Here is a 15280-nt window from a genome sequence, read left to right as displayed (position 1 = left end):
TGCTTCTCTTCTTTTCACCAACTCAACGGAAGAAAGATTTTTATTGTATGGGAGCCAATCCAGATAGATGAGATGTGAGCTGGGTCTGTTCCACCTCATGAGTCATGGGCAGGACCATCCACTACATTCTGACTCCTTCACAGGGCTGATGCAAGATGTGGAGTGAGCACAGCTGGCTGCTTGCAAATTAAAGAAGACTTCATTTCTTTTTGGTCCTTAAGAGCTGAGAATCAAATGTGAGCTGTAACGCTGGAGAAATTGACATGTCCCTTTTTGAGCTTCTTATTCAAATCTGTCAACTTTACATCATTGGCATGCTTGATGCTCAGTAAATTCTAAATATGAATAATTACACTGGACACCCTAAAGTTGTTTTAATGAATTTATGTTCCTGCATATTTATGAAACTCAGATTCTGTGCACCCTTTTCAGGAGAGTACATACCAGAAAAGAGGTTTAAAGCAGCATGGGAACTTAAAAAGTGCTATGCATTTTACTTCCTCTGTTGGTAGAGTTAGCATTGGTGAAGCTAGGATTCATATTAATTCATTATGACACTATAATGCTGCTCATTGAAGGATGCCTAAGGTAAGATAGGCATAGATTCTTGAGTAAAATGTTTGTGGATGACTGCAGTGACATACTCAAAGAATGTTATATTTACTGGCTAAGCAGGCTGTTCTTAGTGTGACACATCAATGTTTTCTTGGGGCTCTTATACGGAACTGGTTCTGGAAGAAGTGATGTAAAATAATGTGTGTTCATGATTCCCCCTCAGAACTCAGGAGAAATCATGAGCCCTCACCAAATCCAATATTTCCTTGGTTTTTAGGCTTTAAGATCAGCTGCCTTTTCTGTTCCAACATCTTGATTACCCATTAGTAGATACAAACAACAAAGTGCAGAGAGCAATACTCTACTTCGACAAAAGTGGTTAGGGCTGCTTTCTATATTTCTGTGCCACCTGCTAGATTGTAGCAGCTCCATTTGATCCTCCCTGTCCTTTTCATTCCCATCTTCACTCTCAGCCCATCCCCATGTCCCCCCATTTCTACTTCCAACCCATACCCTTCCTCAATATAGAATCACCTGTATAGCCAGAAGATATATTTCAAAATACAGTGCTTCTGGAGTCCTGACAGATTAAACTTGAGAAGGTGAAAGGGATTTGTAGTAAGCACCCTGGCTCACCATAAAGCATGTAACAGTCTATTCTTTCTCATAAAGATGGAGGAAATTGAGTTCATTTCATGTATTTCCCTTATCTTACAAATAATGTATATAGCAGTTGTACATCTTACCTTTGTGGAAGCCAGTGAAATAAAAGATTCAACTCGAAGTTCGGAAATTCCTGAAGACTGCTTCTGAGCAGCCATCTGAGAATATGAATAGCGTGATGTATAAAACGTCCAGGCTGACAATCAAACAACTGATTTACTTCGTGGTGAGCCAAATGTCATTTTTTACATGAAGTCTCAGAATAAAAAATTAGATAAAAAGTAAAATGAATATTGTGATCTTAGCAACATTCTCCTTTAAGGGGATGGGAGGAATGGGAGGAACAGAATAAAACTTTACGAAGACCTTTTTAGTTAGAAATGAGTCAGTTGGTTGGATCTTTAATCTTAAACTTTGGGCAAATTTGAGTCTCACTTCAGACCGAACTAGGCAAAACAAAACTGGTATCTGAGCTTCATTTTTCTGTAAAAATGTTACGGGGATGTTAGGAAGTTAACTGTTCATTAATTAAATAATGAACATAATTTATGGGGCTCTTACTACCTTGAGCTAAACACCATGGAGTGTAATAATGACTGAACCTCAGTTGCTGCCTTTAAAGAGTGTAGGAGACTGACACGCATATTCAAATATGTACTAGGAGTGTGCTCTTGAGCTGAGCAGAAAAGTGGCAACTTGCAGGGGTGGGGTGACAGCTTCTGTGAGGGAAATTCTTTGTGTACTGCAAATGTCCATGTGAGGAAAAGACTGAGAAACACACTCTATATTCTGCCTAGATTGTCAGCTTGACCTTCCCTTGTGTCTTCTGTGACCTCCTGAGATCCTTTCACCTCCATTCTATCCTGGATCCTTTGCATCTCTTCCAGCATGAGGACCTCCCATTGATCTGTTTTCTGTAGTTCCATGACTGTTGGCCATGCAAGACAATTAATTAAAGTATGGGATACTTTACTAGGTCTTAACTGCATTTTGAAATCTTGGGGACTGAAGTCCCAGAACGACAAGAACATAAAATCACTGTGACTCTACCTCCTCATCTCCTCCCCTTCTCTGTCCTCGACTTACACTTCCATTGTTCTCAGAGGACTTCCCTTCCACTACTTCCTCCTGTACCACCGTCCCTTTTCCTTTCAGGGCTATTTCTCCTTTTTGTGCTCCACTTATCTCTGCTTCTTGATCTCTGGGGTGGTAAATGTTAGTCTTTTGGGGCAATTGATTTGGCATTTTAAATGAAAGTAGTGGGGAGAGGGGAAAAGATTCCACAGTGAAATTGTCTTAATGTAAGATTCAAACCACAACTGCAGAGAACATCTGTTTTGAAGTTTGATGTTGTCTTTGTAACCCAAGAGAAAAGCAGAGTAAGATCAGAGGAAGGCCTTAGCCTTCCACCAGGATGAAACCACCTGCAGCCTTGGACAGTGGGTGAAATCCTGTAGCCCTGGGATGCAGAGCTTCTAGGAGACTGGCTGTCCTCTTCTCTCATATTATTAAAGGATGTTGGTTCTCTTGCCATCTGTGCTATTGCCATTATCCCTCTACCTCCTCAAGAGTCCAATTCAGGACAATTTAAATTGGAATCCCAATTACATGATCCCCAAAGGCTCACAGAGTAGCCTGCATTCTGCATTTGCAGCAATTCCAGGCAACATGCTCAGCCTGCTTCAGGGAAGCACACAACACTGAGTGTGGATGAGACCTCAGAACCCTCTAACCTTGGGCAGCTCCTTACCTCTTCCTGTCTGAGCCATGTTTGATTTGCTGCAAGAGGAATACGTGTCTAAACTGCTGGATTTTAAAATGTCGCTTGGTCTGTGGATTAGGCCAATCCACCCCACATTGTTGGGGCTGCAGATGCAGTTGAATGGTTCATAATTATAGTCTAAAGAAACTGCAGACAGCAATAGAGCCAACCCAGGCCCTTTCTCTCCTGACAGCCCATGCCAAGCTGTCTCCCACAGGGAACCATAGTGTGGTTATCCTGCAATGTATTTGCCCAAAGACAATACATCCAGTGTAGAGAAGTTGGATTTCTAGAAATTGAGTCTGCTCATCTATCTACTCCCATGTCCATTGTATCCTGTCTTGTGTCTCAAGGGTGTCTGGTACTTCTCCTGCCAAAGTGAAATGCAAAGTAAATGCAAGGAGATGCCAGGGAGAGAACTGCTATCAGGGCATCTGGTTCTAGTACTGACACTGACTTTTTTAGATTGTGTGGCCCTGGAAATAATAATTTCCTCACTCACACTCATTTTTCACCTCTGGTAAATAGGAGTGCTGGACTTGGAGAGCACTGATAAACTCCCATTGAGCTCTAACATGTGACAAATCCAAGACCTAAGGTTTTGTCTCCAAAGAGGCACTACAAATGTGATCTTCTTTCAGAATTTAAACTGTCACTTTTCTGTGACTCAAAACAAATATAAATCTAGTTCTCTTCTCCAATCAGGTAGTTCTCGAATTTCTCAAGTGAGGCTGATGCTGGGCAGGTTGCCAGTTTAAGAACTGAGGAAGGGTCTTGAAGAGATTTTTAAATGAAATGTGGTGATAGTTGTTCTATCTCTCGCTGGAGATCGTTCAGGAAAATTGAGCATCCAAGCTATTCTGCAAAGAGATGGCTGTAGACAGACATTTAATGTGATTTCCCACATATTCTACCGTATACTAGATCTTAATAACAATAATCAAATACTAATTCTCACCTAGACACTGTGCTAAATTCTTTGCATACATTATCTCATTTAATCATTCAAATAGCCTTAAAAGGTGTGTGCTGCTATTATCCCTAGTTGAAACATGGAGGAACTGAGGTTCGGGATTGTTTAAATGACTTACCTGTGGCAATTCAGCTGGCTAGTTGGTAGAGTAAGAATTTGAACCTGAGTCTTATTCCAAAGCCCACACTACTATCCTCTTTGTTTTCTTATATTGAGCTTTCCAGGGCAAACAGGCTCCCAAGTCCTCCCCTCTCCCCCAACCCCACCCCACCCTCCCTTCTTCCCTCCTGACTGCAGCTCCTCCTACCCTCATTGTTTATTGTGCCTTCTAAACAATAGCCAATGAGTCTGTGTTCCATTCTAGGGAGAGCTAGGGCTGATTTTATTCCCTGAAACAGAGATGAGGTTGTGACACAAAAAGGTTAAGTGGCTTTGGTGAGGTCACAGAGCCAGCCTGCAGTCAGCAACAGTACCATCTGAGTCCCCTGGCTTGGGTCCCTTAACTGACCCTAAGGCTTTTTGGCATCCAAGTTTAATTAAGAGAGTTATTTTAATTTTCCTTCCTATCTCTAATTTTCCATTTTATTGCTGCTTGATAATGTAGATATTGAAGTGCCAGGCATTTTTCTTCCCTAGTGTGACTTTTAATGACTAAACTTCTCACATAGAAACCACTTGCCTTAGAAGTAAGCTTTCAAAGCTTGTTTCTGTGTATGACAGAGACTGTTGCCTTTTCTCAGAGAAAAATGAGACCACAAATGCAGCTCAGACAGGTTGTTGTTAATTGAGGGCTTTTTTTTTTTTTTTTTTTTTTCTAAATCTTACATTTATACCAGTAAATCAACATCTGTGAGTCATAAACTGGTTCTGGATCAGCCGTTAGTGGTCTGAATGTTTTTGTACCTACCTTCAGTAAAGCATATTTTAGCTCAAAACTCAGAGATTCTTTGTTTTGTTGAAGTTCAAGACTCAGGAGTAGATAACATGCTAGGACACTTCTGGAGAGGGAAAGTCTGTCTTCCATGATTGTTCAACATTAAGTGTATATTTATATTTCTTTTTTATTGAAGTTGGGGTGGAGTTGAGGGAGGAGTATAAATAAAAAAGAAAGTATGCTTTTTACATACTCCATGTGCTTGAGGAATTCCTGTATGAAGGTGACTATTTTCTTAATATTATTGTCTAGCTCCACTCTTCTGTTCCCCAACTCCTGCGGACTTTTCTTGGCCCTTATTGACTTCACGTTCCTAGTGTAAGGCAATTCAGCACTTGGTAGGATATAATTAGCCGAAGTCTAAGGAATGCTTAAAAATACAATTCTGTTTTTTCCCAAATGCAGGAGGAACAGACTGCTGCAGTACAAGCACAAGCACAGAAGTATTTATTTGATTGATTTTTTTTTTTCCTGAGTGCCTTAAAAACCAGATATGGTATTGAAGTATCTTGCCCAAGTGGATGAAAGGCAACGCTTGGCTGCTGTTGTTTGGCTGGTGGGGACACTGAGGCATACATGTAACCGAGTGGACGTGAGTGCTGGGGATAGAGGTTCTGCTCTACTATGAAGGGAAAAGGGCACAGCCTCTGACACTTTTTAGTTCATCTTCACAAGCCAGAGCATATCAAACTCACTTAATCATTGAATTAGGAAGCCCATAGTGACCAAAAAGTTGATAGTTCATCATTCAACACATATTTATTGAGCTCTGTAATGTCTTAGGCACTAGGCTAGGCATCAATGTTTTAGCGTATGATAACATAGAAATATCATTTAAAGTCCATATGAACATTTAGAAAAATCTACTTGTGTCCTAAAGAGAATGAATAAAAATTTCATTTATCAACATTGATTAGATTAATGAAACATGACCCTGGCAGACCTGATCAGATTATTATATCTTAAATATGTAAAAAATATTTTAACATGACCTTATTAGTGCTCTTCATCCAAATCCAGGGTTCGATGCATAACTTCTGATGGCATAAATATTCATAATTAATATCATCTGGAGGTAACTTTCCTGGCAGCCTGTGGTGGCGCCTGGCTATCTCTCCAAACTGCTGCTTTACGCAACCCTATTCCTTGATTTGGACATTCACTCATTTTGTTTCTGTGCTTCAGGACTGGATTAGGAAACGGATGATTGACTATCTGAGTTGTCACTATGGAAGAATTAGAAAGAATAATTTTCCTCATTGCTAGAGTGGAAAGTGTTTACAGTTTAATCATGGTGGGCTTTTTTAGTATCTAATTTGGGTGGATGTTAGCAGCAGTGTTTAGGCTAGTCTGGGGAAGAAAGTTGAGGAGCAAACTGGGGAAGAGAGAAAGGAGTTGCTCTGAGGAATCTGCATTTGAAAATAGAGAAGTACTCACACTTGGATTAAAAAATGCCAACATTTTCTCAATACAACATCAACAAAACAAAATTCCCCAAAGCAACTCTAGATTTGTTCACTTCTTCTCCTGATGAATTCATAGTGAGTAAGGCAGAATTGATTCAAGAACCTTTTTTTTTTTGTGGTTCATTTGGACGTGTAAATGTACAATTCATTCATCAGCTGTTTCTCTAGGCTTTTCCCAGGACCAGAAGGGTCTGTTCTTGTCATCTGGAGGCCAGCATTGTTTTCTCATACCTTGTGGAAACACAGCTGGATTGCAACAGTCTTTGTTCTTTCAAAAATTAGGACTATCACATACAAATATTTTCCTCTGGTCACTAAGGAGGGATTTAATCTGGAGTTTAGACCAGGAGCCACAGATTTTTCTGTTCCTGGCTTCCTCCCCGATTTGCTGTGGGAAATCTGCAAATTACTAAGGCTTCAAGGGCACAAAACTGGGATTAGATGAAGGTAAGCCTGTGTGTCAAAACTTACCAGAGGCAGAGGTTACAGTTACAGTCAAATGCTGGGAGTTCAAATGTGCTTAGAAATCAGGAAACATTAAAAATAGCTTTCTCTGAGATTGCTCAGGAAGATTTATGTTTAATCTTTCTGTTAATCAAAGATGGAGCTCAGTGCCTGGTTCTAGCTATGTATTTAGATATATACATGTACTGGTTGATTTGTTAATTAGGACAAACTATCTCTATTACAACCAATGTATTAGTGGCAAACCATGAATTATTCGGGTTCATTTTGTTTTATCTCTAGTGTTGGGGGTTCCCAAATGGAACAGAAACTGTGCATTGTGATTCTGTCATGGCTGCCAATGATGTACTCCAGAAATTCAAAACCACAGAGCCTCTGCATCACTTTTTTGGTGGCGGTCGTGGGAGGGTTGTTAGTTTTATCTAAAAGAGGAGAGTCTGTGAAAGGAAAGACAAAGCTTTGGCCAATGGTGACATAATTAGAGGAACAGAATAATTAGAAATAAATCATAACTTCCCCTTCAACCCAACCACTGCTGGAGGTAAATTGGAAGCTTACGGAAGCTCATGGCTGGGTTCTAGTTTGGGGTCCCGTTCTGGACTCCCCTGCCAACGCAGGAGCATTACATGGGTGGGCTCTGAAAAACTGAAGCCTCCTTCAGAAACACACGCCCTGACTCAAGATCCGGCTGGAGTCCAATACTCCTAAAGCCCTTTGAGGACACGGGCTCACGAATCCCCTGCGCCTGCCTGCACGCTCGCCTTCATCCACATGCCTCACGTCCTGTGTGTCAGTCTTTGTGAATGAATGATGTACACGCACTTGGAAAACTATGCTGCTACTGGGAGGGGGCGAGAGCGGGTGACCAAGCCCTCAAGAATGCGTGGAGAATCAGACGGACTTTCCCGAAACGGTGGAGGCGGCCTGTGCACCCAGCCTGCACACCCGCTCCCGGCCCTTCCCGCCCCTGCCTGGGCTCCGAGGCCCGGGGCTCCACGCACTGCTCCTCCGCGGTCGCGGCCCGGCCCCGCGCTCGCCAGCCCTTCCTTTCGCTTTGGGCCGCGGGCGGAGATTGGCCGCGGTGCTCGGCCCCGCCCCCGGCTCCCCGCCCTGCCCCGACGCCCCGCCCCTCGCTCCCCCAAGCGGACATCGCCCGGCCCAGGGCGCGCGGACCCAGCGGCCGAGACGCGGCGCCGCGAGAAACGCCCTAAAGAGGAGGGGAGAGCGCGGGAGGGCGAGAGGGAGGGAGAGCGGCCGGGAGATCGAGAGCGAACGAGGCAGCCGCCGGCGGAGAGGAGGGAGCGGGCGAGGGCCGGGCAGGAGGAGCGGGCGCGGCGCGGGCGAGGCTGGGACCCGAGCGCGCTCACTTCGCCGCAAAGTGCCAACTTCCCCTGGAGTGCCGGGCGCGCACCGTCCGGGCGCGGGGGAAAGAAAGGCAGCGGGAATTTGAGATTTTTGGGAAGAAAGTCGGATTTCCCCCGTCCCCTTCCCCCTGTTACTAATCCTCATTAAAAAGAAAAACAACAGTAACTGCAAACTTGCTACCATCCCGTACGTCCCCCACTCCTGGCACCATGAAGGCGGCCGTCGATCTCAAGCCGACTCTCACCATCATCAAGACGGAAAAAGTCGATCTGGAGCTTTTCCCCTCCCCGGGTGAGTGGCGACGGCCGAGGCCCCCACCCAAGCTCTCGGCCAGAGGCCGGGGGTCCCCTGGACTTCTTCCCCCTTTCGCCGTTCCCTTCTGGGCGGTGCATTTCTTCAGGAGCGGGGGATGCTGTTGGCAGCTGGATCTGGAGGACGAGGAGGAGAAGGAGGAGGAGGAGGAGGAGGAGGACTGTTGGTGGCCCTAGACCCTTGGTTTGGGGGGTGGTATTTATTTTCACAGCTGTGTTTTTGTGAGTGGTGGGGAAAAGCTTATAGAATTTCCAGCGCCCCATTCCTGCTTTTTTTATTTTCCCAAATGAGCGAGAACCCTCTGGCCTTATTCCTTAATGTTAAGGGGAGATGGACGCTGCCTCAGAGGACATCATCGCCTGACTCCACGTCCCCCATAGAACTGAGGCTGGGTGGAGGGCCCCGGGCAGTCTAACGGGTTGGCCTTCAGGCAGATTTTCAAATAAGGTCTTGCCTCCCCAAGCGTCCCTGTCACATGCCTTGCCCCTCTTTTCTGGGTTGAGGGTAAGGAGATCGGAGGAGAATTGAAATTATCCTCTTAACTTTGAGAAACGTCCGACCCTATTCATGTAGGTTACTTACTTTACCCATGTTTCTAATCTGCCATAAATTTTTCTTCTGGTACCAAAGGTCCGTTGGAAGGAAAGCATCAAACACCCAAATGTGACTTTGTGTCTTTGGTACATGGTGTTGTCCAACTCTTTCATTTATATGCATTTGAAGAAGAGAAGGATAGGAAGTAATTTTTTTTTTTTTTGTCTTTGACACAAATATTGGTGCTAAGCAACTTAAGAGAGTCTGGCCTTACAGAATTTCTGAAACAAATGTAGTTTGAGAGGGAAAGATGCTTTCTTTTAGGATAAGGCACTGCCAGCTATCCTTAGAGATGAGTGATTTTGGAGGTGAAAGTATATAGAAAGATCTAGGGAGAAGGCAGTGCACCCTGGAAAATAATTAATTTCAAGAACAGGCTCCTCTGTTGTATCTGATTATCAATAAGTTTAGTTGCTGCCCCCTGTGGTTAACACTTCTTTGCCTCTGCCATAATTTATTGCTTACTTTAACCCTTTCTTACGCTGCTTAAACTTTCAGCACAACCATACTGATGTTTTGTCATTCTGAGGTCCTTCAGAAATATTAATAAAGACATGTAGGTCACGTCCCCTCCCTCTGGGTCCCCTGACATTCAGCTCCAGGGCTGCTGTGCACAGAAGGCTGAGATTTTGTCTCCTCGCAAGGATGATGGTGGTGGGAGCAATGCTGAGAGCGCAGCTGGAACCATGGAGACATTTAAGGCACTTAGGCCTACAATTCAGAAATGCTGTTTCTATGATGGTTGTGTTTGGGGGTTCGAGGAAGCTAGAATGAGTTCTGTTTGTCAGTTGATTGAAACCATATATAGAAGTGAAAAGATAGTTCACATCAAAGATATAAACTCAACTAATAGGTCCTTTCCTTAAGAACAGCTTGTTTATATGTGTTGTTATGGGTGTTTATGGGGGAAGAGACAGATTTGGTCATCTGGGAAATATCGTGTCGATATGTCAGTCCACATACCTACAAGGGATCTTTCATCCTGGGAATGAAAAAGAGCCCTGGCAACACATGTTTCAGATCACAGTGAACAGCTGAGGCAATTTTTTTGGTAATTTAATATTAAATATTAGAGACAATGTATATGGTGCCGTCATTTCAGTTACTGATTAAAAATAAGCTCTGGGCAAGTAACTTTCTTTAGCTTTCTATTCTGTAAAATGGGAACAATAAGGCCTAACGCTACAGTCAGCGTCCATTATAATAAGCATATTTGCAATGGCTTTCTTTTTCAAAAAAGATTTCCAAGCCATTGGTCATCTTTTGTATGTGAACTTCGATACAACAAAATTTCAACTGGCCAAAGAAATTGGGCAGTCTTCTGCCATTCATTGTAAAGAGGTTTGATTTCTAGCACCATTATTTATTATCTTGGAAAAAATAAAGACAAAAACTTGAAAAAATATATAGACTATAATCAACTTTTTTTTTTCTGGACCTTTAGTTGCTTATATGCGAACATTATGCCCATACCTCAGAGAGGAAAATAGAGTCACAGGAAAGGTAAATAATTGACATAAAAATATGTAGTGAGCCAGTGGCTGAAGTACAATCAATTCCTGTTTCTAACTTCGCAATGTATATTGCTTTGAGTAATGTTGCAAGATACCTTCCAAAAGCTCAGCAAAGAAACCTCAGCTGAGACTTAACTTGCAGGTGCAAAGCAAGGATGGGAGAAACGGTGTTTCTGGCCAGGGCTGTCTGCTTTTGTTAGTGGAAGGACAAGACATTGGCTAAGTGCGGATTTGCCTTGCCCATCAGACCATATAGGACATGTGTTTAAAGTTTAACTTCTCACAGCGTAGCTTTTTATCCACAGCTGTGACTTAAATATTTGTCAGAATGATTTCTTTGGGTTGCTTAGTTTCTTATGTGTGGAGACAGCTAGTGTGGGATCTTATCTGGCTTAAATGATTAAACCAGAATTTTCTCCCCACCCCCTCCCAAATTCATGAGTGCCAAAGAGAGGCAGTAAGAAAGTGGGGTGTCCAAACAGGAGCCGCAAGACCTGGATTATTTGTTTTCCTGGCTAGGACCTGACCAAGAACCTTTATGCACTTTTATTCTATTTTGAGACTTCACAGGAGTTTGACAGCGTTAAGTGCTAAATTAACATATACTCTGAAATAACAGTAGAATTGACTTTTCCTTGCAAGTGTAAGAGTAAGGTGGGATATGCTATTTGATTGCAACAGTGTGATTGCAAGGATCTTAAATAGCTTAAAAACAAATATAGCCATTGGGTTCACTCCTGGTTCTCTCCTGGTGGAGCCTGCTGTGAAGGGGCCAGGTGCCAAAGCCAACACATTCCCAAGCCACTTAATTTTTCCTTTCCTTCAACACTCTGCTCTACCTTCTTGGTGAGGTGAGCTTAATGTCCAGATAAGAGCAGGAGCTCTAATCCTGGATACTTGCTGTTCTATAAGAATAAAAGGATCAGCCTCTCACCCCACCCGCCCTCAGCAGAGGGTGTACATCCATCGGGAACATGCGTTATACTTAGAGATAGGAAGAAGCTTTGTCCTTGCTCAGCTTGGTCAGTCTTTGTTTCTTCATCAGTGTAGACAAGAAAGAAGGGCAGAGCTGCCCAGTCTATTAGATCACTTGCTCACTGTGCTCCCAGATCCCCGCCGACCATACTCCATTAGAGACTAAAGAGCTCTATGGTTCAGAGCAGAGACTCTGGAGCCAGCCTGTCTGGATTTGAATCTCAGCTCGGCCACTTAGCAGCTGTGTGACTTTGGACAAATGACTTAATCTCTCTGTGCTCCAGCTTCTGCATCTATAAAATGAGTACAATCATTCTACTTCATAGGATGAATATCAGGATTAAATCTATGAATATGTGCAAAATCTTAAAACAGTGCCTGATCCATAATAAATACTATTTAGCAGTTAACTACAGAGCAAGTCAACAAAAAATGATCCTGATCAGTGTAGAATTTTCAGAGGCCCTTGAATGTTTGTTAGAAGATAAGGTGGCTGTGTTATGTACCTCCTGATAATCTATTATTTTAGAGGGAAAGAAGAGTAAAGTTAAGGAGGACCTTTTCACCTGCTTAGCTGAGATCCCATGCCCGTGAAACTTCATTCTGTTCTCCAGGGAGCAAATAGTGAGAGGTAACTTTCAGAGAGTGTCTTGAAGTCCAGCTCTCACTGTTGGAGGCACAGGGAGGGGGTTGCCAGTTACTTTGGGTGATGGAGATTGTCATTGTTACCTCAGAGCAGGAAGGCTACCAAGTCTAGAGGCAAGGGGAACATTTGCAGGGTTGATGGAAAAGTCAAGTTTTCAATTATGCAGGGCTGAGAAATGCATCATGTCCAGTTATTATAAAGCATCTCCTATTTTATTTATTTATTTGGTTGGCAGAGCTTGCATTCCTGGCATTTTTGGTTGGTTTGTGTTGCTGTTTTTTTGTCTGTGTAACTTTTTTTTTCTCTTAAAGAGGCCAGACCACCCTGTAGGAGCATCGCCTCCCTCCAGGAGACAAACCAGCTCGTGGTCAACCTCCCGGAGCCCAGGTCTCTCTGGGCTCCATCAAATCTCTGCAAACTGAGAGCTGGTTAGTGTAGGTCAGGATTTTTCAGGAGAGTCTCCCTGTTTCAGAATACAGCAGATAACTCTGCAATGGTTACAGTGACAGTGTAATTACAGATGTCTCTCTGGTTTGTGTAATGAATAATCCATGGCTGTGGTGGAATTCCATGAGCTTGCATTGAAGGTGGTAGGTTCTTGTCATTCAAAAGTTGTTGGGATATTTCTGAAGCACACATCGAGCCTGCATTGTGTGCTGGGCACAGCCAGATAAAAGAGCACTTTTATGCTTCACACTTACTCTGAGGTGTGGTGGAAGTATTATTTTCTCCATTTTTCAGATGAGGAAAATGAGTTTCTGAGAGATGCATACTTGGCCTAAGGCCACACTCTAGAAATTTAGAAACTGATGAGATGTTGTAGGCATTTTATACCTAAAATTTTGAGTTATTCTCAAAAACTCTGGAAATTAGAACACAGGCAGGTGAGAAGGCAATGCTGGTCGGTGCTTTGGGGGTTCAGGAGGTACAGTGGCTCCCTGCTATCTCTGCAAGAGCCCCCTGAGCTGAATCAGGTGGCCTCATTGTTAGCTCAGTGCTTCATACGGCTTGGGGAAAGGGTCCATCCTGTGGGTTGTCCCCAGGCCTGGCAGTCCAGATGTGTTGCTTTAGAAAGATGTTTGAAAGTTCCAGCAATGCTTACCTCAGAATGAAAGGCAGAGAACCAGGATTCTTGTTTTTGCAACGTCTTCCATATGGCCTTGGCTCTCTCACAGGTAGGAAGGTGATTATGTTCACCTCCAAGGTCAGTCCTTCGCTGAGCCTCCAGATTCTGCCCATTTCTTCCCCTTCATCACTGATGTTGCTGTGCATTGAATCTCTCATAATCAGGATGATGAGACATAGCTTGGCAAACTAGTTCATTTTCTTAAGGCAGTTAAAATTTAATTATCCTGCTTGCAGAGAGGCCATAGATAGTTGAGTTGCATTTGCTGCCTATGCCTCATATAAATTTCGTTTTTTCCCCTAAAATTTAGTTTTTTTTAAAAAAGTCCATTCCATGTGTCAGGGCACATGGTCTGGAGTTGTCCTGGCACAAGACAGCCCCAGGTGTCTACCTGCAGACCTGCCAGCTGTCCCAGCCCATGGCTCACACACAGGCACACTCCCCTGCCACTTGTTTAAGGTTAAGGCATTGGTTTCTTTATTACTGCATTATGGGGAGCATTTTCCCGAAGAGTTAGTATGCTTGGGCCCACACTGTCACCGCAGAGAGGAATTTGTATATGAACAACATCATCTCCGTGTTTTTATTTAGCTGCTCCTTAATGAAAACCTTGGCTCCATTTTCCTGCTCACAAGGAACCTCTGATAGCATTTGCCTCTATGTTTGCAGTATTCTAGGTCTACCCTTCGCTCACAGCTGTTAAGCTGTTCTTAACTCAGGGTTAGGAATGTCAAGGCTATTCCCAAATCTATCATTTTTACTTGTCATGTGTCTCTAGCTACTTTCTGCTTTATTTTTTCTGTCGGGTTGATGATATCTTTTTCAAAACTTCAGTGGATGTTTTCCAAATTGCATAAACAGGCTATTTCTACTTGGCTGCTTTTCTGAAGCCTTCGCCTATCTGCACCCCCTTTTCCTTCTGATTGTATAATGTATAATCTCCATGCAGATACAGAAAGACATAGGTCTGCAGGGTGGATTGTGGTAGGTCTGGTTTCATTGGCAGAGAGCCATGCTTAACAGACACGCTCAAAATATTGCTATTCAAGCCGTAAATATTTTATTGATCACTTGGCCAACGCTGTCATATTTCCCAGGTGCTTTCCAGTGTCTACTGCTTGGGTGCAAGCCTGTCACTTGACACTTCAAATGTGGCTTATTACTGCCCCTTCCACTTTTCTCAATTGTTCTTTCTTGTAGCATTTAGTACTGTCTCTAAGAGTTGTGGAATATTGACCCAGATAGTGCTTTTAGACCCAAAGTAATATTAGAAATTTTAAGGCTGTTGGACTTCAGATCATAATGGTGTAGAGATAGAAAATCGTATAATTTACCACCCAAACTGGGATACCTTTGAGAGTGTAAAGGGGCACTATTAATAATTGCATCAGAATGACAGACATTAACTGGGGCTCTCCCCACAGATGAGGGCCACCCGAGTTAGACACTAAATTTGGTCAATCGTACTTTCTAGAATATCTTCTCTCAATTGCCAATTTCAGGGTTTAGACCATCTAAGTAAGCTAATAAGGCACGATTAAGAGTTTGAAGCCCTTTAAGTTTAGTATGGTTTTCCCCCAAACATGGATTATATTTTAAATTTGTTTCTCAGTGTCTGAGAAACCCAAATCAACCTCAGACAAGTTCACTTCAAGCATTTGAAACCTCTTGGTAGCTTTGGGTAGCTGTGATAAGCCATTTATTTTTGCTTTGCAAGGTTCTGTGGAGAAACTGTAAACTCTGCATGTAGTGTGCACGCGCGCGTGTGTGTGTGTGTGTGTGTGACAGAGAGATAAAATGAACTTTGAAGTAGAGGGACGTGTCTTCATTACACAAGTGAAGACAATTGCAATTTTTGTTTTGTTTTGTTTAAATGTTTATCGAAGATAAGAAATTTTACTTTGGGCTGAAAAGGGGCAAAAAAAATGTT

The 15280-nt window shown here is 43.0% G+C and overlaps 1 protein-coding gene, 1 long non-coding RNA gene and 1 other non-coding gene across 11 annotated transcripts in view, besides 3 other annotated features; 1 reads left to right on the top strand and 2 right to left on the bottom strand.

The window, feature by feature from the left end:
* The window catches only part of ETS1 (ETS proto-oncogene 1, transcription factor), a 128794-nt gene that overhangs the window by 57172 nt on the left and 56342 nt on the right, over positions 1–15280 (top strand). For 4 of the 9 annotated variants that reach the window (NM_001162422.2, NM_001330451.2, NM_005238.4 and 1 more), the window contains exon 1: positions 8077–8474. The exons of the other annotated variants lie outside the window; for them this stretch is intronic. In NM_001162422.2, the coding sequence (NP_001155894.1) occupies positions 8393–8474 (82 nt within the window). In that variant the 5' untranslated portion in view covers positions 8077–8392. Of the gene's footprint in view, positions 1–8076; positions 8475–15280 lie in introns of those variants that run through there. 9 annotated transcript variants of the gene reach the window in all.
* On the bottom strand, positions 4–4245 carry ETS1-AS1 (ETS1 antisense RNA 1). Its single transcript, NR_120581.1, has 4 exons — positions 4072–4245; positions 2969–3854; positions 1302–1376; positions 4–249 (listed from the first exon to the last, which is right to left on the bottom strand). It is a non-coding gene; the product is annotated as an ETS1 antisense RNA 1 (long non-coding RNA).
* Positions 6919–8327: a transcriptional cis regulatory region, noted in NCBI's record as "chr11:128391955-128393363 region (GRCh37/hg19 assembly coordinates) targeted for CRISPR interference". NCBI's record gives its function as "positively regulates ETS1 gene expression in GM12878 lymphoblastoid cells {active_cell/tissue: GM12878}" and the evidence as "EXISTENCE:mutant phenotype evidence [ECO:0000015][PMID:33828297]".
* Positions 7583–8272: a silencer, noted in NCBI's record as "silent region_4054". NCBI's record gives its function as "represses an Ori minimal core promoter by ATAC-STARR-seq in GM12878 lymphoblastoid cells {active_cell/tissue: GM12878}" and the evidence as "EXISTENCE:reporter gene assay evidence [ECO:0000049][PMID:35858748]".
* Positions 7667–8327: a transcriptional cis regulatory region, noted in NCBI's record as "chr11:128391955-128392615 region (GRCh37/hg19 assembly coordinates) targeted for CRISPR interference". NCBI's record gives its function as "positively regulates ETS1 gene expression in Jurkat T cells {active_cell/tissue: Jurkat}" and the evidence as "EXISTENCE:mutant phenotype evidence [ECO:0000015][PMID:33828297]".
* MIR6090 (microRNA 6090) lies at positions 7938–7997 on the bottom strand. The gene has a single exon (NR_106738.1). It is a non-coding gene; the product is annotated as a microRNA 6090 (primary transcript).

This window comes from Homo sapiens, chromosome 11 (assembly GCF_000001405.40).
Source record: "Homo sapiens chromosome 11, GRCh38.p14 Primary Assembly".
Taxonomy (NCBI): Eukaryota; Metazoa; Chordata; class Mammalia; order Primates; family Hominidae; genus Homo; species Homo sapiens.
Note: the sequence above shows the minus strand (reverse complement) of the source record. Positions and strands in the feature narration are given on the sequence as shown.